We start from the raw sequence: 24,530 nt of genomic DNA on the forward strand, positions 1-24,530 counted from the left end.
CTCAGTCGTTCTAGTACACAGCAGGGACTCTCAACTCTCAGGCTCAGTCGTTCTAGTACACAGCAGGGACTCTCAACTCTCGCGCTCAGACGTTCTAGTACACAGCAGGGACTCTCAACTCTCACGCTCAGTCGTTCTAGTACACAGCAGGGACTCTCAACTCTCACGCTCAGTCGTTCTAGTACACAGCAGGGATTCTCAACTCTCACGCTCAGTCGTTCTAGTACACAGCAGGGACTCTCAACTCTCACGCTCAGTCGTTCTAGTACACAGCAGGGACTCTCAACTCTCACGCTCAGACGTTCTAGTACACAGCAGGGATTCTCAACTCTCACGCTCAGACGTTCTAGTACACAGCAGGTGCGCTGTCCTTTAACAAGGACAAAGGTCAACAAACGCCCCTTGGATGAATGGCTGATTGGCAGGCATTCCACACTGCAGGCTCTGTCCCCGCCCAGCAGACTTGTCCCCTATCTTGAAACACTACTTTTCCATTTCATTAATGCAACCTGATGGCCGGCCACTGTAACAAAAGAAACATCACCAAAATGAATTGTTTCTTTCTTAAGACAAAAGGGAGTTTGCTCCTCACATATGACCTTACGCAGTTTCTGTCTGAGAATCATCATGTTCGTCAGCCCTGCCTGTGCTCTCCTCTTCCCACTGTGCTTCCTCCTGCATCACAAAGGAAACCCCTGTGAGCCTGGGAAGTGGGTGCGCAGGCGGAGAAACAGAAACGGCCACTCCAGGCTCAACCTATCCATCCCGGCCTCTTCCTAAGACCAAGGCGCTGCTGACTCAACCCTGCTTCCAGAAGCCTAGGGTTAACATCTGCTCCTTCCTCCTGTTTGCATTCAGTGAAATCCTCTCCTCTCCCAGGAGTTTCCACATAAAACCTGCCTCTTTGTTTATTAAGAATTGTTTACAGAACTCTCAAGCAGCAAAGGCAAAGTACAGAAGATAAATAAGAGCAAGCTGGCCGGTGCGTGCGACTGGATGGACAACATCTTTACCCACATGTCTGCATCAGCTCTGCGTTGTTCACCGACAAATCCCGTGTCTGGAAGAGTCCTGGCAGGCTGCACGGGCTGGAGAGAGAGCGAGCTGGTGAGTGGCTGCCCCTCCCATCACCACCACTGGCCACACCATGATGATCACACACCCAGGCACACCCACTCTGTGCTCTCCACGCATCGCCTCATTCAACCCCCACGACAGCCCTTAACAGATGCCACCTCTGTGTTTCTTGTGAGAAACATGGAACATAACTGGCACTCATCTAGCATGGTCTCGCAGTAGCACTGAACCTACAAACCACTCTCTTCCCAGGCTTCCACCCCACCATTCCCGGTTTCTCTTGTGAACTTTGTTTCCATTTTGTTTCACTTGCTACATCTCCTTCCTCCACCTCCTCCCTCAATGTTGTCTTCAGCCACTGCAGGGGCACTCTCACCTGCCTCTGGCTTTAACGACGTGCTGCTGAATCCCAGCTCTGCCAATCAGAGTTGAACCCACTGAACCCACTGCAACAATGTCCAACTAGAGACACTGTCAATCAGAGACAATGTTCCCACCTTACTCGGCTCTCCTCACACAGGCTGTGCACATACAGAGCCCTCACCCCACTCCTTCCTGTATCCCCTGCCTTGCTGCAGGGCACCACTGTCTAACCCTCCAAGGCAGAAACCAGCTGCCTCCTCCTCCCTATCAAAAGCCCACTTATAAATCCTGTCCATTTCCAGCTCCCCCCCATCACTGTCACTCCTCCCTACTGCAACCGCTCTGACTTCTAGTTCAAGAGTGTCTCAGTATTTCTTTACCTACATCATCATAACAACTTAATTATCTCCACCTCCAGCCACACACACCATCAACTTATTCCCCACAGTGCTAAGGGGAGAATTTGCCACATCTGGTCACTTATTTACACCTCAGTCTGGTGTGCAGAAGTCACTGGGCTAACAAGGAATATATTCATGTTGTACATCGTGATGCAGTACACACACACACACACACACACACACACACACACACACACACCCCTGGAAAATAAAAGCTTCACAGGACGAAAGCTTCCACTCCTACATGGGACACACTCCAGTGTTTCCCCAGGCTGGCAGCCGCTGTTTGTGACCTCAGGACCCATCGCCGTGGCAGCCGCCTCCCAGAGCCCGTGGCATGCACTGTGTTGAGGGGTGCTGTCTGGCTGCCTCCCCAGCCTCTGAGCAACCGCAAACACCTTCCAGTTTAGGAGGGTCCCTCTCCATCTTCCTAGAATGCCCTTTTCTACTGTGTCCAGCTGGCAAACTCCTATTCATTCTTCAAAGTCAAGCTCAGGTCTTGACTTTCTTCCTTATACTTCTCAATATTCTTCAAATTCTCTACGGAGATATGTATTGCTTTTATATTTTTATACTATGTCACCACCATACCCGAGACCTTACCAGTCACACACTCACCCCCATTCATATTCTATCACGGTATAATCTTGAGCCCAGGAGTTCAAGACCAGCCTGGGCAACACAATGGGACCCCATCCCTATAAAAAATTAAAAAATTTGGCATGGTGGTACACGCCTGTGGTCCCAGCTACTCAGTAGAATCACTTGAGTCTCTACTCAGGAGAATCACTTGAGCCTGTGAGGTCGAGGCTGCAGGGGGCTTTATCACAGCCCCACACTCCAGCCATGGGTGACAGAGACCCTATCTCTCTCTCTCTCTCTCTCTCTCTCTCTCTCTCTCTCTCTCTCTCCTCTCTCTCACACACACACACACACACACGAAATATATGGACACAGGCCACATTATATACAAGCATTGCCATAATAAAAACAGCTCTCCCTTGGCCTCTGAGCATTTTACCCTTTTGATCCATTCAGCTTCTTTAGAACAGATGGATATTCACCATAAGATGTAGTTTATGGACAAGAGTAATTTGGAAATGAAAAAGGAAGACAGTAAGGAGGCCTCCCCTTCAAGAGGGTTTCATGACAAGGCCCAGTTGAGTGGCCATGACTGGCCGGATCCTTTGGCCCTAACATATGGATCCCTCCAGGCTCTTTCAGTCTGCTAACCTACAAGTTAATTAGTCCATTTCTAGGAAGAAAGTGTCCGTTGTCTCCTCTGCAGACTTTCCACTTCCTGACAGCACAGGAACCTAACAGCATGCCAAGTTCAGACTCCTTTTTCTTTGCACCTCACTACCACCGACAGGCTTTCAAACATACTATTCAGAACAGAGACACGGCGTTGGCCACCAGTCCCAGCTCCAGCAACACTAAAAGGCCTCCCTAAAGGAGCAGCAGGAGCGCAACAGAGAAGAACAGGGTTGGACGTGGGGGCTGGGCACACCACCTTCACCAGAGTAAGAGAGAAGGAACGGGCTTGGACGCAGCAGGGCTGGGCACGCCACCTTCACGAGAGTAAGAGAGAAGGAACGGGCTTGGACGCAGCAGGGCTGGGCACGCCACCTTCACGAGAGTAAGAGAGAAGGAACGGGCTTGGACGCAGCAGGGCTGGGCACGCCACCTTCACGAGAGTAAGAGAGAAGCAACGGGCTTGGACGCGGGGACTGGGCACGCCACCTTCTCCAGCCCCAGAGCCCCACTGTGGAGAGAAAAGGGGCTGCTCTCTGCCTCAGAATCCAAGAACTCCTGAGAAAACAGCTACATCGACATCTGGTATTAACATTTGATTGTTTAACCACACTATAAGGGAGAAGGGGACATGGACACTGGCTTCTAAATACAGAAGTTTCCAGCTCCCAGCTGGTTACTCTGAGAAGATGCCCCTAGTGTGTCACCTACAGAGAAGGGAGGATGCCCACCTACCCTGCCTGGCCTGCACCACCCACTAGAAATAAACAACAGGCCCCAAATGCAAACAGGACCAAGAGAAGGGCCATACGGCAGCAGCACCCCAGTGCCTCCAAGATGCCACTCACCCATGGTGCACCCTACACACACTCACCTCCTCAAGACACTATGGATTCTGTGTGTCTGGGGGTGAACTGCAATTTTTTTAATGTTTTCCAAGTAAATCTAATTTAAAAAAAAATCACTGATCTAGCCCTTCCTCACCCAAACTCCCAGTCATACAGTTGTCGAAATAATGACCATAAAGCAATTCTTCTCTAACTTGAGAATTCTCATACTCTTCTTCTCCACGCAAGTCGGAAAGACCTAGTCTGAGAAAGAAAGCCATAAAAATGAGAGAATCCAGCGAAGTCGCTGCAGCCAGGAGGAGCAGCACCGCGCAGTCCTGTGCCTCACCCCTGCCCAGGCCACCTGAGCCCCACCTGTCACAGTAAGGCTGCAGAAGCATGCGGCTGGTCAGCAGCTAATCAGCAGAAGGAAAGCTGGCCCGACAATCCATGCCTATAAATTCCACAACAGATGTCTCCTGAGGTCCAAAATCTGCTCTTATTAAAGAGTGGCGTGTGGGATGGGCAGAGACTCACACAGCCACACCACACACACAAGGTCTCAGGACTCTAGCCAAGGTCTTCTAGTTTGTAGTGGCCTCATGTTTGATGAGCATCTAATAACAAAGACAGGAAAGCACTGGATGGAGACGCGGCGAGGACACTGGCTGTCTGGGGCAGCCTTGCCCTGAGGAAGTTATGCTCTAACTGGTGAGACTGCACCAAGGCACAAGAAAACCCACGACAAACTGAAGTGTCCATGCGGATGGCTAGGTGAAGCAGGGCGCAGGCCCAGGTGTGAACACTCAACTGCTGGGAGCCCAAGACCAACTGATACACCCACAGCCACCAGCTCTTCATGAGAGGTGAAGCCAGCTGGGCTTCTGGGTCGGGTGGGGACTTGGAAAACTCTTCTGTCTAGCTAAAGGTCTGTAAATGCACCAATCAGCACTCTGTACAAATGCATCAATCAGCGCTGTCTAGCTAAAGGTTTCTAAACTCACCAATCAGCACTCTGTAAAAACGCACCAATCAGCACTCTGTGTCTAGCTAAAGGTTTATAAACTAACCAATCAGCATTCTGTAAAAATGGACCAATCAGCACTCTGTAAAATGGCCCAATCAGCGCTCTGTAAATGGACCAATCAGCAGTACGTGGGCAGGGCCGAATAAGGGAATAAAAGCTGGCCACATGAGCCAGCAGCAGCAACCCACTGGGGTCCCCTTCCATGCTGTGGGAGCTGTGTTCTTTCACTCTTCACAATAAATCTTGCTGCTGCTCACTCTTTGGGTCTGTACTACCTTTATGAGCTGTAACCCTCAGCGCGAAGGTCTGCAGCTTCACTCCTGAAGTCAGCGAGACCACGAACCCACCAGAAGGAAAACACTCCAGACACATCTGAAAATCTGAAGGAACAAACTCCGGACACACCATCTTTAAGAACTGTGACACTCACCGCGAGGGTCCACAGCTTCATTCTTGAAGTCAGCGAGACCGAGAACCCACCGGAAGGAACCAATTCCAGACACATTCACACGCAGACGTACTTTCGTTCTGTCCTGCTGGGAGTCCAAGACCAACTGACTGTCCACTCAAGGAACAGACCAACTGACGCACCCACAGCCACCAGCTCTTCACACACACACACACACACACACACACACACACACACACGCTTTCGGTCTGTTCGCTCAAGGAACAGGAAGCCTTTTTCACTTCAACTTCTGCATTCAGTTCAATGTGCTGGTGCCGCCCATCACCTCTAAATCACCGCAAGTTTCAAGAACAGCCAGTTGTGTCCTGGAGCTGTGCTGAGCACGCCCACCAGCCCAGCAGGTGCTGCTGAGAGCAGAGGGTTTTGCAGGGTCACACATTCTTCCAACAATATGACTGCAGACCCCCCAGCAAAAGGAAAGATTCCCCATTTGGGAAAGTAGACTAAAATTTTCTTCTATTAAAACATGATAATTCGGCCGGGCACAGTGGCTCATGCCTGTAATCCCAGCACTTTAGGAGACGGAGATGGGTGGATCACCTGAGGTCAGGAGTTCGAGACCAGCCTGGCCAACTCGGTGAAACCTATCTGTACTAACAATACAAAAATGAGCTGGGCGTGATGGCTCAGAACCTGTAGTCCCAGCTACGTGGGAGGCTGAGGCACGAGAATTGCTTAAACCCAGGAGATGGAGGTTACAGTGAGCCAAGATCATGCCACTGCACTCCAGCCTGGGCAACAGAGTGAGACTCGGTCTCAAAAAAAAAAAGATAATCCAAGTTTCTCCTGACAGATGACATTCATCAACAAGAGATTCAAGCAGAAAAGACCACTGTCTCTAACAGCAAGTATTATACAAGAGCCTCAAGCGACGTCTGCCTTGGGTGTTGGGACATAGCAAACAGGACGGCTGTTCCGCAAGAGCAGGACTGAAGCAGGCGGAAATGAAGACGCAGGGGCATCAGCCATCAGAGCTCTTCTTCCTGGAATAACTATTCCTCTAAGCTGCTCCTTCAGATACAAAATAAAAAGTAACTCTCAACACTGACAAGTCAACGGAGGACACGCGAAAAACCAAAAAACTTTTACTATATTTTTGTTTTAATAAAGTTATTCTAATCCCCTGAGGTAACTGTGAGGGAATTAATAACTAGAGAACTGTTAGAGACCCCTGAAGGTTGGACAATGGTATTGCCGAAGCTTTGTGTTTTGCTCTTCAATAAACTTATCTACTTTCTTAAGCTAACTGAATAAAATTTAATATACATTTATCAACCACATCTTTTAAAAAGAGAGAAAAGTAGGAAACTCAAAGTAGTTTCCTTTAAACAAAAGATGGTCAAAGTTGATGAATTTAGAACATTTGTCCCCAATATCCTAAAAAGTGACATACGAGGAAGGAGATGTCACAGAAGAAAACGACAACACACACCCAAACGGCATCAGCCTGTGTGTGACCATTTTCACAACAGGGAAGGGAACGAAGCGAACAGATCCATCACTGAAAGCGCAGCACACACCTTCTAACCTGGAAATGGAGAAGGAACGTCCACTTATGAAGAGGGCCAACAACAGTGGCCTCTCATTCCATGAACCAAGCATGATGCTAATATGCTAATATGACAGAGAATTTTTTAAAAAGCCACCAAAAAAATACCAAAAAGTGAAAGACTGTATTGTTTGCCCCAACATCTGTTTTCTTCACTCTAATGTTCCCAAACCAGTGCAGCAAACAGGCTGGCTCTTCCCGCCTCCCACTGACTCCTCCACACCCCTACTTCCTCTCTCCTCATTCACCTCTTCTTCTTTCTGCTCTTCTGTGCCTCCCACTCTCTCACTGAGCAGCCCCTCACTTCCCAGCATGCCACCATCTCCCCTGAGCAAACAGTCCTCCAGAGACAGTCCTCCAGAGCTCTCTCCAACCTGACATCTCTCCCAAGAGCCCACTCACCAGATGTCCAAGGGGTTTATGAAAGCCATGGATTCAAGGCTAGAGACGCTGTCCCTCAGACCAGCTCTCTCCGGCTCTTCCTGTCTGGTAGGGAGGCTGTGGTGCCCTGGCCACTCTCATTTCTCACTGGCCTCTGCACCTCCCATGCATCCGCTCCTCCGCCATGCCTCTCCACTACTCCTAATGCCACTCCCAGCTCCAGCAACCCACCCTCCAGGGCACCTCGACGCTATGCCCAGTTCAATCTCCTATGGGTCAGTGCAGGGCAATGCATAATGCAAACTAGGCCCGGGGGCTGTGGAGTTGGGCAGCCATGGTTAAAATCATTCTTAGTTTCCTCATCTGTAGAAAGAAAAATTCCTGGATACAAAATATAAGATGAATATACACAAGTCCATTGTATTTCTAGACACCAACACCAGGCAGAGTCCACCATGAAGGCAAGTGGCAGTGTCCCAAGGAGAGCCCGCTGGCCAGGAGGGCACCGCAAGCTTGGACACAGCAGGGGCACTGGAGATGGGTCCACGAACCGCGTGCGCAGCCCAGGAGGCTGGCACAACTGGTGTCTGCATGAAGACTAGGAACAGCTGGCTTCTTATCTCACACCATACACAAACATCAATTTAGGATACATTAAAGGTATAAATGCAAAGGGCAAAAGTACAAAATGTGCAGAAGGCGTAGGAAGCTATCTTTATGGCCTTGGGATAGGGAACATTTTTTTTTTTTCAACACAGAGTCTCACTCTGTTGCCCAGGCTGGAGTGCAGTGGTGCGATCTCAGCTCACTGCAGCCTCCGCCTCCTGGGTTCAAGCAATTCTCCTGTCTCACCCACCCGAGTAGCTGGGACTACTGGCGTGTGCTACCACATCCAGCTAATTTGTGTGTGTGTGTGCGTATTTTTAGTAGATACAGGGTTTCACTAGGTTGGGCCAGGCTGGTCTTGAACTTATGACTTCAGGTGATCCACCCACCTGGGCCTCCCAAAGTGCTGGGATTACAGGTATGAGCCACCGTGCCCATCCAAGAAAATTTTCTAAAAAAAGACATACTGGGTCATGATGGACAGTTTGGAAGGCATTGCCCCCAAGAACCAAGCACAGTCCCTTCGAAGCTAAAGTATTCAAATCTCAAGTCATCAAATGTTACTGCATTTAGGAGGCCGAGGTGGGAGGACTGCTTGATCCCAGAAGTTCAAGGCCAACCAGAGCAACATGTGAGACCGCATCTCTATAAAAAATTTTAAAATAAACTAGCCAGGTGTGGGGTTGCATGCCTGTGATCCCAGCTGCTGGAGAGGCTGAGATGGGAGACTGCTTGAGCCAATGAGTTCGTGATCATACCACTGCACTCCAGCCTGAACGACAGAGCAAGACCCTGCCTCAAACAAAAACAGAAACAAAAACAAACAAAAATTTTAACCTTTCTCTTAAAAAAAACAAAACCAAAAAAAAAAAAGAACTGTATTCTTCCATTCATATAGAAGATAAACATCACAATGGGAAACTCCCTCTGTGTGGCACGTTGTTCAAATCCACATGCATGCACAGTCCCAGAGTCTTCTTTCCTACCCGCAGCACTGAAGGTTCAAGGAAGTCCCACTGTTTTCAGTAAACTGAAAACTTTTTTGGAAAATGCTGTTTTCCAGTATAGACAACTGAATCCTAAGCACAAATATATAGGACCTCTGAATATGTAAAAATTTAAAAGCAGACAACACTAAATTAATGATTTTACTTTTAAGGAGATAAAATGTTCCTTGACTTGCAATGGGGTTACCTCCCAATAAACCCAGTGTAAAGTCAAAAATCCTAAGTCGAACCATCATTAAGTCAGGGACTATCTGTATACACTTTCAGTGCTAAAAACTACACCAAAGAAAAAACAAGTGTCAAAGTTCTCCATGTAAAACAGTGATCCAGGGATATGGGTGAGAAAACCCATCTAAAATGCAATGTGATATTTAGGATAAAGCTGAAACACACCACAGCGCCTCAGCAATTGAGGCTGTGAATACAACCACACAATCAGCAAAGAAAAGCTTGTTCTATTCTTCATCTACACCACTCACACACAACACCAAAGGTGTTCTCAGCACACCTCCATCCACCTCAGATCTATTCTTCATCTACACCACTGACACACAACACCAAAGGTGTTCTCAACACAACTCCGTCCCCCTCAGAACTCTGTGGAACGTTTTCATTCCCAATGATCACCAACAGAGCCAGCTGTAAGCTCAACTCTAACACTACCCACAGTGCAGCTGACCTAGACTGATGGGCGGCCTCCGGAGAAGTCAAAGACTCCAGCTCTACTGCACACACCCACAGCAGGAGAGGCCTGTGTCTCTCACAGGTGTGGGGTCTGAGCCGCAGCCCACTACCTTAACTCCATAATCTGTGACTTGGCTCTTATGAGGAAGCTGACAAAGAATCAGAGACTCAGAGGAGATCACAGCCTTTCAGGACTGAGGTCTAAAACACAGAACCTCTAGCCCAGTGCTCACCCGCAACCATTTCCCTGCCTCTTCCTACTTCTCCAGTCCTCAAGGGGACAATGGCAGGGTTCACAGGATTCTTCCTCCGGAAGAATTCAGTGTGCTGTAATTAGAAATGAACATTTTATCAATATGTTCACGTAAAATGTACATGTTCCCCTGGGGGGAGGGATAAATAACAGTGGAACTAGGAAAAGCAGACCACCAGAAAATGTCTCGGTCCAGCGTGGTGGCTCAGGCCTGTAATCCCAGAACTCTGGAAGGCTGAGGGGGGAGGATCACATGAGGCCAGAAGTTCAGACCAGCCTGAGCAACACACTGAAACCTCAACTTTGTAACAATAAAAACAGAATAAAAACTTAGCTGGGCATGGAGGTGTGCACCTGTAGTCCCAGGCACTCAGGAGGCTGAGGTGGGAGAATTGCTTGAGACCAGGAGGTCAACACTACAGTGAGCTGTGAGTACCAATGCACTCCAACCTGGATGACACGACAAAACTCTGTCTCAAAAGGAGGGGGAGGAGGAGGTAAGAGGGAAAGGAAGAAAGCATAAGAAAATATCAAGCACAAACTAAGGGCCCCAAAAAATCCAACTCACAGCAACGTGGGCAGAGCCCTGGAGAAGCCAGAGGACATCCAGGCACCACCCAGCAAGGGGCTACAGAAAGGGGGCCACCTGCCTCCAAGCCTGCCGGGACTGAAAATAAATCCATGTGGCATCAACAGGAACATCTGTGGCTGTGTGGCAATGCGTGTGAGTGCGCATGAATCCTGGTGTGGCTGGTGTGTGTCACAGTCAAAACGGAAAGAGAGAGCGCATCGTGGTTTATAAAAAATAAGTTTCCTTGCGGCCAGACACAGTGGCTCACGCCTGTAATCCCAGCACTTTGGGAGGCCGAGGCGGGCAGATCATGAGGTCAGGAGATCGAGACCATCCTGGCTAACACCGTGAAACCCTGTCTCTACTAAAAATACAAAAATTAGCCGGGCGTGGTGGTGGGCGCCTGTAGTCCCAGCTACTCGGGAGGCTGAGGCAGGAAAATGGCGTGAACCTGAGAGGCAGAGATCGCAGTGAGCCAGGATCGAGCCACTGCACTCCAGCCTGGGCCACAAAGTGAGACTCCGTCTCAAAAAAAAAAAAGTTTCCTCGCTATGCATGCGCTAAAACCCTCTGGAGTGAAGTCCTAAAATATTTAAATGAATTTTCATTCTGAAGAGACTACAGAACTTCTCAACACAGGCTCTCTTACACAGACTCTATTACACAGACTTTTTTAAGATCTTGCACATCCAATGTCAGAATATATTCCATCACCCAGCAACAAAAGCAGTCAGGAAAAAAACTTCAGAAAAAGAATTATTAAAAAATACGCAAACCTGGCCGGGCGCGGTGGCTCACGCCTGTAATCCCAGCACTTTGGGAGGCCAAGGCGGGCGGATCACGAGGTCAGCAGATGGAGACCATCCTGGCTAACATGGTAAAACCCCACCTCTACTAAAAATACAAAAAATTAGCTGGGTGTGGTGGTGGGCACCTGCAGTCCCAGCTACTCGGGAGGCTGAGGCAGGAGAATGGCATGAACCCAGGAGGCGGACTATGCAGTGAGCCAAGATCGTGCCACTGCACTCCAGCCTGGGCAACAGAGCGAGACTCCGCCTACAAAAAAAAAAAAAAAAAAAAAAAAAACGCAAACCTGACTCTTAAAAAATTAAACATACCCTGCATAACTGAACAGTGTCCACAAGCAGGAATCTCTCTGGATGGCAAGGTGGCAGCCGACTATGGCACTCACCAAAAAGGCACCTTCCCCCATCATCCATGCAAAGACCTTTCCCAAAGCCACCAGACCTCCGTTCAAACAACTCAAATCCGGTCTAGAAATTAAAAATCCTTGTACTGAAAGCAAAATCAGGGTTAGCTGTGACTAAGATCCAAGAAATAAACTTTTTAAAAAGTAATAAACATGAATTCATCAGTATGAAAAAGGTCTGTGCACAGTGAGCAGTTGGCACACCGATGCAGTGCACCGAGGGCCAAGGCGAAGGCCGCAGGGGGAGGAGGCTCAGCAGAGGGAGGACACCCCAGCTGACAACGCACGCCCACTGGTGCCAGTGCTTTGGAGAACATGCCAGGTCATGTCTACGCTTTCCTCACTAAGGATTTAATTTCAGTATTCTACAATCTAACTCTACACTCTCAAAACATAATTAGAAACAATGTTTTGAATGTGATGGAGGGATGCAGTAGAGCTTCTCTAGAAAATGCTTTTGAATCTGTCTCAGAAAACCACCTGTTTTGTAGAGACCAAGACTCTTCCTCCATTTTGGCTCAAGCTGGATCCTGAGTAAAAGACAATCCCACAAACGCCCCTTTATGCACAGCTTCCCCCACACGCTGTTTGTCTCTGTTTCTCTCTCTCTCAATACCCCTAGATTTTAGGTCAAAACAAACCTGTTTCCACCAGCTGGACAGTATCATTCAGGAACGGTTTTACGCATCAAAGACTCATTTCCAGATAAAGCTGAAGCTCCAGGGAGGAGGCCTGTGTCCCACAAAGGCCAGGTGCTGACACGGTTAGTCCTTTCCTCCCCACCACCCACCAGGAATGTTGCTGGAACCCAGACACGCACAGCAAGGTTCTGCTGTTTACCCTGCTCCCCGGTGGCAGGAAGGTGTGTGCCCTATTCTCACTCCAACCCCATCACGGCCTGGTGAGCCTCCGGCGCTCCTGCCCCTTACAGCACAAGCCGGCCACCACCTCCCACGGGCCCTGACACTGTCACTCAACACCTCACCACAGCACCCAGCCTCTGCCTCTTTCATTAGACATAAGCAAGGATTTTTCCTCTAGCCAGGAAGTTTTTCAAATGTGAAGTATTTCATTTTTTTCTTCTTATTTTTTTGAAACAGAATCTCGCTCTGTCATCCAGACTGGAGTGCAATGGTGCAATCTTGGCTCACTGCGACCTCTGCCTCCCAGGCCCAAGCAATTCTCCTGCCTCAGCCCCCGTGTAGCTCGGATTACAGGCATGCATCACCACGCCCAGCTAATTTTTATATTTTCAGTAGAGACAGGGTTTCACCCTGACCTCAAGTGATCTGCCCGCCCTGGCCTCCAAAGTGCTGGGATTACAGGTGTGAGCCACCTCACCCGGCCTCAAATGTGAAGTATTTCAAATCGAACTTGTTCACAGTCAAGGCAAGCATGGCATGCTTGCTTTGGCCAGCACATGTACTAAAAATTCGAACAACAGAGACGATTACCATAGCCCCTGTGCAATGATGACATGCAAATTTGTGAAGCATTCCATACTTTAAAAAAAACACACACAGATTGGGACCTGCTCTGCAAGGCATCAGATGCCTTCCAGTCAGTAAGAGACAAGAGATACACAGGGTGCTCCCATTCCCACAGCAAGCACCACCCTGCACCACTAGTATTAGCACCACCCACATGGAAGGGTGCCAGACACATACCTACTAGCTGCCTGCCACGCATGGAAAATTCTTTAGGCAATACCCTCCGCACCCAGAAGGCTACCAGACCTGTTAAGCCTTTTCAACCAGTTTTTGCAAGCAAGAGAAATGCAATTCTTAAGAGCGGGAACACCCCTTTATTACATGTAAAGATACACAAGCTGGATGAATTGAATAGGGGTGAACAGTGATGACCCATGACCAAGATGCATTAAGAAACAGATCTGCACAGGAAGGTGGAACAAGGCCCGTGAGTGCAGAGCAAGCCTGCTGGGAGGGCAGGGGCTTGTCTTGGAGGAAAGTGCCAACAAAGCCTGTGCCAACTACAGCTGCCGTGCCGGGCCGGCGTCAACACCGAAGGAGAGGTGTGCAGAGACAAAGCGGCCTGTCAGGCTGAACAGGGAGGCAGAAACTCCGCAGACCAAGAATACAGTTTCCATAGTACCCTGTAACTCACCAAGGCTGGGACAAAGGTTAATGAAAAGTTCAAATCTGAAATAAATAACAACTCACTTCGGTATTTTACAAAAAAGGTAGTTAAGTATTTTTTTTGTGTTCCTGCATAAAATACTAGTAAGACTCAAAACAGGTAGATACTGATATGCAAGTTTTAAAATCACAAGCAGAAGAAACAACACTCTGTATGCCCTTCCAGGTGGAAATGCAGTCAGCAGAAAACTGTCTCCATGAGATAAATGCTCCTGCCCAAAGCCCACTCTAGCAATGCTTCCTCCCTGAACCACAACTCTGAACAGGCTGCCACTCACTGCAACTCCTTGCACATGACAGACTTGCTGGGAAGAGCAGGTGCGTACTAAACATTTTCTTTGGGCTCCAGAAAGCACTAACGGCCTACTTTTGCAACGGGGCGGTCGGGGGGGTGGAGTGGAGGGAGGGGGGTTGTGTAGGGTTTGCCATCAGCGTTACCCTGGAGCTAGTCCAGCCCTGGACTTCGATATCACCTGAAATCCAATCATCAAACTTTGCCCACTGTTTCTTCTCCAAAAGCAAGGAAAAGAAAAGCTATCATGAGCCCCTTCAGGGTCTAGCAGCATACAAGACTGCTTTTAGAAATTCTACTCCAGGCATAGTGGCTCACGCTTGTAATCCCAGCACTTTGGAAAACAGGAAGGAGGATGGCATGAGCCCATGAGCTCAAGACCAGGCTGGATAACACAGCCAGATCCCGTCTCTGTTATAAATAAATAAATAAAATGTAAAAAAAAGAGAAATTCTACCAAATAAAGATCAACTATGATGTAACAACCAAGTAACCCTACAGTGTGAGAAATGCATGAGGGGCTTAAGCTCAGGGAACCACCACCTAAAGAGAGAGGCAGAGACCTCAGAGGACATCACCACAGGAGCAGGCAGGCTCCCACCCAGACAGTGGCACACTGCCACCCTTGCAAACCTACCACACAGACCCGTTCAGCACCTGCCCTTGCACCACCCACCTGGAGGCTCAGCATCCAGGTGTGCTGGCCCCTTGGGTGAGGGTGCCCAGGCACTCACCAACTGAAGTCCCCATCTCTCCACGGCAGGCCCACCTCAGAGGAGGCAAATGTTAACGGCTGATTTCTTCCCATAAAGCTAAGCCCTTATCCATGTGGCTTGTTTACAAAAGTAAAACAGGCTGTTTGGACATGGCATTAACCAATGTATTAGTAAGGGAAGGGGAGCAAGCTGTTTTCTTTAACTAATATATATAGGTCCAACCCTAGTTCAACCACTGCTCAGCCGTTTCGAACCACTGGCTGAGCAAATTCAGCCTCTCTGAGGTTCAGGTAAACTAAGAGGTCATCTCCTTGGGGCGTAAGATGCTACCCCTGAAGCAACATCACACCTCTCATGGACGTCACTATCATCCTCCACCCCAACCTGCAAACATACCTAGGACCAGTGCCCCAGCCCCAAGGAGCCACAGAGGCTGAGGATGATCCGTCCTCCAAATGCTCAGGCTACTCTGAAGCAGGAAACAAAGACAGCAATAACCACAAGCACAGGGACAATGTCCTGCCTGACACCTGAATTCTTACTCTGATATCTCAACATCCTCTTCAATAAAATCAGGAAATAACTGTATTTTTTTAAAAAAACGATTTTGAGCCCGGGCACTGTGGCTCACGCCTATAGTCCCAGCACTTTGGGAGGCTGAGGCAGGCAGATCACCTGAGGTCAGGAGTTCGAGACCAGCCTGACCCACATGGAGAAACCCCGTCTCTACTAAAAATACAAAATTAGCCAGGTGGTGCATGCCTGTAATCCCAGCTACTCAGGAGGCTGAGGCAGGAGAATCACTTGAACCCAAGAGGCAGACATTGTGGTGAGCGGAGATCGTGCCATTGCACTCTGGCCTGGGCAACAAGAGCGAAACTCCGTCTCAAAAACAAAAACAAAAAAAAAAATTTTTTGTTAAAAAAAAAAAAAAAAAAACCAGCCTAGTATATGTTCCTGCCTAAGAGAATATGAAGCTTTGTTTTGTTCTTCAGATGGATCCACACTTAGAACCACCATCTTTAAAAAAAAAAAACTGTTTAAAAAGGACTTCCAATTGCATTTCATGAAGGCAGTGGGTAGAAAATCCTTGATCAGTCCCTAATTGGGTGTGTTTTCCATGAATGAGCTATTGGGATACAGAGTGTCGAGAACAAGAAAACAGCTTCTAATATGAAAACAGATGAGGTTCTCCTAAAGCTTCTGTGACAGCTGCATCTAAACAGTTTAACACTGAGGTGGACGGGCGCAGTGGCTCACGCCCCTAATCCCAGCACTTTGGGAGGCCCAGACAGGCAGATCGCTTGAGCCCTGGAGTTCGAGACCAGCCTGGTCAACATAGCAAAACCCCATCTCTACAAAAAACACAAAACTTATCCGGGTGTGGTGGCAAGCATCTGTACTCCCAGCTGACAGGGAGGCTAAGAAGGAAAGGTCACTTAAGCTCAACAGGCAGAGGTGGCAGTGAGCTGTGATCATGCCACTGCACTCCAGCCTGGGTGACAGAGCGAGCCCCCGTCTCAAACAAAAACAAAAACCAAAAAAAACCCACAGACTCAATTCTGGCTGCCAGGCCATCAAGGGCTGTGAAGTGAAGCCCTGAGATCCTTGTGGCAGGACCCTGGACACACAATGACAGTGCCACCAGCCACAGCCATGCCCAGCAAGCAGCTTCCTGTCCAGTGAGCACCAAGGGGCCCTTCTCACACACAGCCTCCCACTCAAACCTCGAGCATCCGCTTCTCTCCTCCTCCACTCTGGGGCACAGAGGCTCTCGCCAGCCCCCACAGCTGCTTCTCCGCTTGTCACCCTGCCACACACCCTCTGTCCCTGCAGTTCCAGGGACAGCCGAGGTGTTCTCACTCTGCACCAAGTGCCTCACGGGCCAGGTCCTGCTTAAAGCCTGAATGAAGCAAAGCTTGGAAAGGACCCAACACAACCTGCCACCAACTGAATGCCTGCCATCCCTCCCCACCCTACGAAGACACTGCATGAAAGCCACCGAGCACGTGACTGCATGACCCCCACACAAAGGGCACGTCCATCGTTCCAACTACAAAGCTCCACGTCCAACACCAGTGGCCTCCTCACCCCCAATGCATATTTGCAACCCATTAGTACCAAAAGTTTAATCACTATTGCTGCCCTGTCTCCTACTACCCCATTCCTTGCCCTCATTAAACTCCTAAAGACAGTGGTCCCTAGATGCCTCCCTCTCTTCCCTATCCAGCGACTTATCACAAACACCCCAACACCCTTTCCTCTCCATCAGATATCACTGAACCTCAACAAGGGGGCCTGAGGTGCCAAAGAAACATCACATAGCACGATCTAGAGTGTAGCAACCACACAGCTAACACCCAAATCAGAGGGTCCTCATGATCCCATCCATGCACCCACATCCCGGCTGTCGTCCACAATCCTACGAATCAGAGGGTCCTCGTGATCCCCATCCGTGCACTCACACTCCCTGCTGTGGTCCACAATCCTACAACAATGCTCCACTCTTGGCCTCGTACCCTAAGTGTCCACATTCCACCTGTTCTCACTCCTCCTACACAGCCACCTTTGGCCCTAAGAACACTGCATCCGGACACGCAGGCCCTCGGCCTCCCAAAGTGCTGGGATTACAGGCGTGAGCCACCGCGCCTGGCCCAACATCATGTATTTATTACATGTACCAGCATTTATCTAATATTTTCCTAAAATACAATAACTTTTTCTTTTTTTTTTTTTTTTTGGAGACAAAGTCTCACTCTGTCACCCAAGCTGGAGTGCACTGGCACAATCTCAGCTCACTGCAACCTCCACTTCCCAGGTTCAAGCAATTGTCCTGTCTCAGCCTCCCAGGTAGCTGGGACTACAGGCGCCCACCACCACGCCTGGCTCATTTTTGTATTTTTAGTAGAGACAGGGTTTCACCATATTGGTCAGGCTGGTCTCCAACTCCTGACCTCAGGTGATCCGCCCACCTTGGCCTCCCAAAGTGCTGGGATTACAGGCATGGAGAGTTGGGCCATCTATTCTCTCACTGAAGCAGGGATGACTTTGTCACATGCACCCTTGCAGACACTGGGCACCTTGCAGACAGTGGGCACCCTGCAGACAGTGGGCACCTTGCAGACACTGGGCACAGGAATTCAGTAAGACTGATAGGTGATGTTTTTAGTTAGGGAGAATATATGTGCAAATTATTTCCATGTAATATAAAAAGAAAAAGTCTCAACTGTAAAATGAGCATAAACAGTCCAATGGTGAAACCTTTTCTCAAAAATCTGAATTGAAAGGACAAGTTATATTAGTGCTCAAGAAAAACTTCTCCCTGATCTGTCAGAATTCACACCATGAGTTCCAAATCACACGAAAGTACTCAAAGTCTTGGCCAAAGCAAACCTACTACAGCACCTAAACACAAATCTCCATTTTCTTTTTTCTTAAATTAGCCTTACTACTATATTATTAAAACTCTCAAACCAAAAGTTGAAACTAAAAATTGAAGTATTTTATAAAGGACATAAGCACAAAAATACCTTCCAAATAATCTTCAAATACGCCTAATTAAAAGCAGGCATTTAATTGCACAAATTTAATGAATTTAACATTTAAAAGTAAAGTTAAACTGCTTCTGAGGCCTTACAGTACCCTAAAATCATTTTCAAAGTCCAAGACGAGACGGTGCTGGACTAGCAGTCCTAGAAAAACCCTCACCAGCACCGCCCCGTCCACCGGAGCGCACGTGAGTCCCGGCATGCGGGCAGGGCAGGAGAGCTCTTTCTATCCCCACCCACCTCTGGCTCACTCCATGAGCACAAGCAAAGCAGTGCCCCGGACCTGGCATCTGTTCATGTTTTACTTGCCCATATCACCATTGTATTTAGTTCTTGGTAGCAGCCATCAACCATCATAAAGCAGCTTCTTTTATTCTTTGCTACTTCAAATCACACATGAAAAAGAAAATGCAAGAATAGAAACACAGAAATGGAAATGGGCCAGGTGTGGTGGCTCACACCTGTAATCCCAGCATGTTGGGAGGCTGAGGCCGGAGGATTGCTTGAGCCCAGGAATTTAAGACCTGCCTAACCAACACAGTGAAACCCAGTCTCTACAAAAAAAAAAAAAAAAAGAAAAATTTGCAGGCATGAGGAATGTTGGTGCATGCCTGTAGTCCCAACTACTTGGAGGCTGAGGTGGGAGGATCACTCGAGGTGGGGTGGTCGAGGCTACAGTGAGCCGTGATCCCACCACTGCATTCCATCCTGGGTGACAGAATGAGACCCTGTCTCAGAAAAAAAGAAACACAGACATGGAGAGAGAAGGCAGCTATCATGGGGCAAATTTAAACCAGGATCTCTGGAAATGCGTTATTTTTTTTTTAAATTATACCCACACACCCCTTCCACATTCTTCTATACTTAGAAAGGGGGTGTGCAGGCCGGGCGTGGTGGCTCATGCCTGTAATCCGAGCACTTTGGGAGGCCGAGGCAGGCAGATCACCTGAGGTCGAGAGTTCGAGACCAGCCTGACCAACATGGAGAAACCCCGTCTCTACTAAAAATACAAAATTACCAGGGCGTGGTGGTACATGCCTGTAATCCCAGCTACTCGGGAGGCTGAGGCAGGAGAATCACTTGAACCTGGGAGGTGGAGGTTGCAGTGAGCCGAGATTGTGTCACTGCACTCCAGCCTGGGCAACAAAAGCGAAACTCCATCTCAAAAAAAAGAAAAGTGTGCATACCAACCTGGTGAGCTAGGTAAGGTGCTCACATACTGGCAACAGAAAGCAGGTGACATGATCAAAGTCATAGACAGGCAGAGCCACACTGAAGAATGCAGTCCTGGCTACAGGTCCCAGCTCCTGCTTCACTGAGCACCCTGAGGGAGCCCTTCCTAAGCAAGGGGAGCCCTGCCTAAGCACTGGGGAGCACTTTATCTCACAACAGGAAAAGGCATTCTTTCCCCTCAGTTTCTCAGAGACCCAGTGACTTCAGGATTTGCAAACAATTGTGTTACTGAATGTGTCACACTCTGCTCCAGCTGCAGGGAAGAACCTGAGTGATGAGAGTACATGATTCTGACTCTGACCCTGACTTCCTCTTAACCTCCATACCCAAATCAAGACCTGTGCATGGAGCTGGCTCAGACCGGGGAGCCAGATGCTGTCTGAAAATATGCCATCAATTCTTTCTACTCACTTAAAATTCAAGTACCTAAGACATTCACCCCCCATTTTGTAAAAAAGCAAACAAAAACATAAGACTCAGAGACAGAATGTAAGAATACAACGAAGTATACCTGGCTGGAAGAACAGCTTTTACAGTGACAGCAACACCCTAATGGGCCCTCAAGACAAACTTGTGCCTCCCTCCGACGGTGTACAAGGAGTTAGGACTTTCCTGTGACCCTCAACAAATACTTGCAAGTATAAAGTTCGTTTTAACTTCTAGACCCGCTTTGTTTTAGTACTGATTGCAGAAGAGGGCTGACAATCCCAAGCTCTAAGCCTTTCTTGTGATTATCATTCCCAAATTCTCTTTCGCTATGCATACATTCCTAAACTCCTACTTTCTCCAAATTCTCAAAACATTCTATTTTACAGAGAGAGACAGGGTCTCACTATGGTGTCCAGGCTGGTCTCTAACTCCTCGCCTCAAGCAATCCTCCTACCCCAGCCTCCAAAACTGGCGGGATTACAGGCGTGAGCCACCATGCCTGGCCTGTCAAGACATTCTAAATTCTATTTTGTTCAATTTAATATCACACAGAAACTAAATATGCCTTCCATCAGCCATGAAAATGACTAATGAAAATGTAAATGACCACGTGGCCCAATCCTGGTTTCCATGGGAAGACCAGCTGGCTCACCACCCAGCTAAGAGTTATGGCCTAAATCAGAGGTGATCGGGGTGATCAGAGGTGAGCAAAGCACTGTTTCTGTAAAGTTTTAGTTTTATTGGAACACAGCCATACACAGCCATGCTTTTGCTTCAATGGCAAAGTTAAGTAGTTTCAACAGAGAAACCTATGGCTGGCAAAGTTCTTTACCACTTGGTCCTCTGTAGAAAAAGTTTGCCAATGCCTGGCCTATGTCAGAATTCTAACTACATCTCTACAGACTAGCCTAACAAGTGGGTCAAGTGCTAATAGTTTTAAGGGTGTTTCGGGTTTTTGTTTTAAAAGTTAATTATCTGTAAAGACAAATCAATGGAGACAGATAGTAGATTAGTGGCTGCCTGGGGTGTGAACAGATTAACTGTGAATTGACAGGAGGGATCTTACTGAAGTGCCAAAAATTTTCTAAAATTGGATTATGGTGATGATTTCACAAATTACTTTTTTTTTTTTTTTTTTGAGACGAAGCCTCACTCTGAGGCCCAGGCAGGAGTGCAGTTGTGTGATCTCAGCTCACTGCAGACTCCGCCTCCCGAGTTTTCAAGCAATCCTCACACCTCAGCCTCCCAAGTAGCTAAGATTACTAAAGGCACATGCCATCAAGACTGGTTAATTTTTGTATTTTTAGTAGAGACAGAATTTCGCAGTGTTGGCCAGGCTGGTCTCAAACTCCTGACCTCAGGTGATCTGCAAGCCTCGGCCTCCCAAAGTGCTGGGATTACAGGCTAGAGCCACCGCACCTGGCCCATTTCACAAATTACTTTTAGTAAGCAAACTTAACTAAAAATCACTGAACGGCATACTTACAATGCATCAATTTATGACGGAAAAAGTATTTCAGTGAATCTTAAAAACTGAAAAAGAAAAGTCAACTATCTGTATAATTGTACTTTGGTAATCTAAGACCTAAAGTTTAGGGTACAAGCTGAAATAAAATCCTAAAAAATCTTTAAAACATGTGTCTAGACGTTCAAAATTTAACCTCTGGTATCAAATAGCTCATTTGCGCCGGGTGCAGTGTCTCACGTCTATAATCCCAGAACTTTGGGAGGCCGAGGCAGGTGGATCACCTGACCTCAGGAGTTCAAGACCAGCCTGGACAACACGGTGAAACCCCATCTCTACTAAAATACAAAAATTAACCAGGCATGGTGGCACACGCCTATAATCCCAGCTACTCGGGAGGCTGCAGCAGGAGAATCGCTTGAACCTGGGAGGTGGAGGTTGCAGTAAGCCGAGATCACACCACTGCACTCCAGCCTGGGCAACAGAGTGAGACTCTGTCTCAAAATAAAACAAAAAAAACTCATTTGCAATTTAGAGACAGGAATTACAGCCAAGTGCACCCCTTACCCCACTCCCCTGGAGCCACAAGCCAAGAGGGCAAGGTAGGGAGGACCAACCATGCCTGGTGTCCTGCCACCAATGGCTCCAGGAACCCCAAGTTCTCTCCCACACCCTGGGCGTGATTAAAACTAGTAACACCTTTCTGTTAGAAACCACAGCGGGTGAGGACACAGCTGTTTACTTTTTTTTTAATCAAGAATGCTGCTCTCAGCACTCTGGGAGGCTGAGGCGGGTGGATCACCTGAGGTCAAGAGATTGAGACCAGCCTGGCCAACATGGTGAAACCTCATCTCTACTAAAAATACAAAAATTAGCCGAGTGTGGTGGCGGGAGCCTGTAATCTCAGCTCAGGAGGCTGAGGCAGGAGGCAGGAAAATCTCCAGACCTGGGAGGCAGAGGTTGCAGTGAGCAGAGATCATGCCATTGCACTCCAGCCTAGGCAACAGAGAGAGACTCTATCTCAAAAAAAAAAAAAAAAAAAAAAGAATACTTTGATGGTATCTTTGAAAGTTAAGAGGTCCTATTCCCCTCACTACTTTTAGATTCTTGTTTTCACATGGTCTTCTTGAAAGAAACTGCACACGCCCGCTTTTTCATACAATCACACATGCGTGGATAAACACATACCATCTTTTATTTTATTTTCTAAATAGAGACAGGGCCTCCTTATGTTGCCCAGGCTGGTGTCAAACTCCTGGGCTCAAACAATCCTCCTGACTCGGCCTCCCAAAGTGCTGGGATGACAGATGTAAGCCACCACGCCCGGCTGCACAGAACATCTGAAGCACATTTCTTTTTTGTTGTTGTTGTTGCCGTTTTCATAATAGTATTTAACAAGATAAATATCTTGGCTCCTTTTTGTTTTTATTGCCCTGCCCTTCAGGGATTAAGTGCATTTCTTAGATACTCACTACTTCTCTGACATTAAATTTTGTTTCAGTTGCTTACATCAACGTTTCAAAACCCAGAAATAAGAAAATTATTGTTCGAGGTCAATAACCATGTTTATAACAACTTCCAACTTAAAATGGAAGAGGAATCCCTTGGAGAACACACATTTCCTTATGGAAGTTTCCTCAAAATTTCTAATAGGAATTTCAACTAAGTTAAAGTACTAATTTAAGTAGGACAAGACAGAATTCTCTTCCTTCCCAGACACTATTACAAGCCAAACCACGTTTCACAGGAACACGTCCTGCCTGCTAAGGTGTCCCCTAGGACAAAGCTGCTTGCCAGCTGACCATCACTTGTATTGCATACTTTAAAAAGTGTGGCTAACAGAAAGGAGGCAAGACAGATGTTATTTAAATAAAAGCACAAAGCATCTGTTCAAGCACGAAAAAACATATGGGAAAATACAAGCACAGGACACTCAGGACAATGTGATGTGCTGAAGACACAGCGGCAAACAAAAGAGACCGGATGCCACTGACCTGTCCAAGAAGAAGAACAGGAAGTATTACATGAAGGAGAACAGGAAGTAAAACATGACTGGAGACAGAACTTGTGAATTCGAGGCAGGACTCTGGAGCCAGCCTGCCCAGGGTCCAGTGCTGGCGTCCACTCCCAACTTCTAACTTCCCTGGGCAAGTGGCCCAACTTCCTTGTGCCTCAACTGACTTATCTCTGCCACAAGGGGCAGAGGAGCACCCGCACCTCGGGAGTTCCCAAGACTGTCTGAGTGGACCTACATGGAGCACACAGAAGAGCACCCGGCAGGTAGTACATGTTTCACAATAATCCTTCCACAATGCAAATGACATACACTCTAAACTCATCATGGGGGAGTGCTTCACAACACCCCCTGGCACACCACAGCCAACACAACCACAGCCAACACAACGACAGCCGCGCCACAACCAAGAGAGCCTGAAGAGCTGCTCTCAGTCACTGCCCAGCAAGTGTGGGCAGCTGTAGCTTACAGACCAAGGCCACAGACCACAACTTCTGCAGGCTTGCCTGGGACACAGGGGCAGATAAGGAGAGCACCTGAGGCCTACGCTGAGTCCCACAGCAAGGATCCGACCCACATGGGCACAGAAGACTTCTACTGCAGGTTGCAAATCTTACATCCTTGACCTAGTGGGTAAAAAAACCCTAAGAAAAGGCAACTTTCTAAAACAATCATACTACACTCATATAAGCAATTAATTTTTAATAAGCACTGCTCATATATTAATGCCAATTTTCTCCTTCACAAATTATAACTCTGTCTTAAACCAAGCCACTATGAAAGCGGCTCTAGGCCAGACTCTCAGCAGCTACCACTGCTACGGTTCCTCAAGCTGCTCCCCTGGGTGCTTCCAGGGTTCCTCAAGCTGCTCCCCTGGGTGCTTCCAGGGTTCCTCAAGCTGCTCCCCTGGGTGCTTCCAGGGTTCCTCAAGCTGCTCCCCTGGGTGCTTCCAGGGTTCCTCAAGCTGCTCCCCTGGGTGCTTCTAGGGTTCCTCAAGC

The 24,530-nt window shown here is 48.0% G+C and overlaps 1 protein-coding gene, 1 long non-coding RNA gene and 1 pseudogene across 6 annotated transcripts in view, besides 3 other annotated features; 2 read left to right on the forward strand and 1 right to left on the reverse strand.

Annotated features, from left to right (window-relative positions):
- ANKRD11 (ankyrin repeat domain containing 11) overlaps window positions 1–24,530 on the reverse strand; it is a 222,932-nt gene that overhangs the window by 162,609 nt on the left and 35,793 nt on the right. Inside the window, exon 2 of one of the 4 annotated variants that reach the window (NM_001256182.2) lies at window positions 1,018–1,088. The exons of the other annotated variants lie outside the window; for them this stretch is intronic. The gene's annotated coding sequence lies outside the window, so the exon portion shown is untranslated. The remainder of the gene's footprint in view (window positions 1–1,017; window positions 1,089–24,530) is intronic. 4 annotated transcript variants of the gene reach the window in all.
- Window positions 680–24,256, forward strand: LOC101927817 (uncharacterized). Of its 2 annotated transcripts, none has more exons than NR_110931.1 (3): window positions 680–1,107; window positions 14,002–14,153; window positions 23,020–24,256. It is a non-coding gene; the product is annotated as an uncharacterized LOC101927817 (long non-coding RNA). The 2 variants fall into 2 exon arrangements; NR_110932.1 differs by lacking the exon at window positions 14,002–14,153 and adding an exon at window positions 20,606–20,756.
- Window positions 2,677–3,449: an enhancer, noted in NCBI's record as "H3K4me1 hESC enhancer chr16:89499323-89500095 (GRCh37/hg19 assembly coordinates)". NCBI's record gives its function as "activates a minimal SCP1, AML or CMV promoter by ChIP-STARR-seq in naive H9 embryonic stem cells {active_cell/tissue: H9 hESC(naive)}" and the evidence as "EXISTENCE:reporter gene assay evidence [ECO:0000049][PMID:30033119]".
- RNU6-430P (RNA, U6 small nuclear 430, pseudogene) lies at window positions 13,080–13,186 on the forward strand (annotated as a pseudogene).
- Window positions 19,823–19,902: a silencer, noted in NCBI's record as "silent region_7902". NCBI's record gives its function as "represses an Ori minimal core promoter by ATAC-STARR-seq in GM12878 lymphoblastoid cells {active_cell/tissue: GM12878}" and the evidence as "EXISTENCE:reporter gene assay evidence [ECO:0000049][PMID:35858748]".
- Window positions 23,389–24,209: an enhancer, noted in NCBI's record as "H3K27ac-H3K4me1 hESC enhancer chr16:89520035-89520855 (GRCh37/hg19 assembly coordinates)". NCBI's record gives its function as "activates a minimal SCP1, AML or CMV promoter by ChIP-STARR-seq in naive H9 embryonic stem cells {active_cell/tissue: H9 hESC(naive)}" and the evidence as "EXISTENCE:reporter gene assay evidence [ECO:0000049][PMID:30033119]".

This window comes from Homo sapiens, chromosome 16, assembly GCF_000001405.40.
Source record: "Homo sapiens chromosome 16, GRCh38.p14 Primary Assembly".
NCBI lineage: Eukaryota > Metazoa > Chordata > Mammalia > Primates > Hominidae > Homo > Homo sapiens.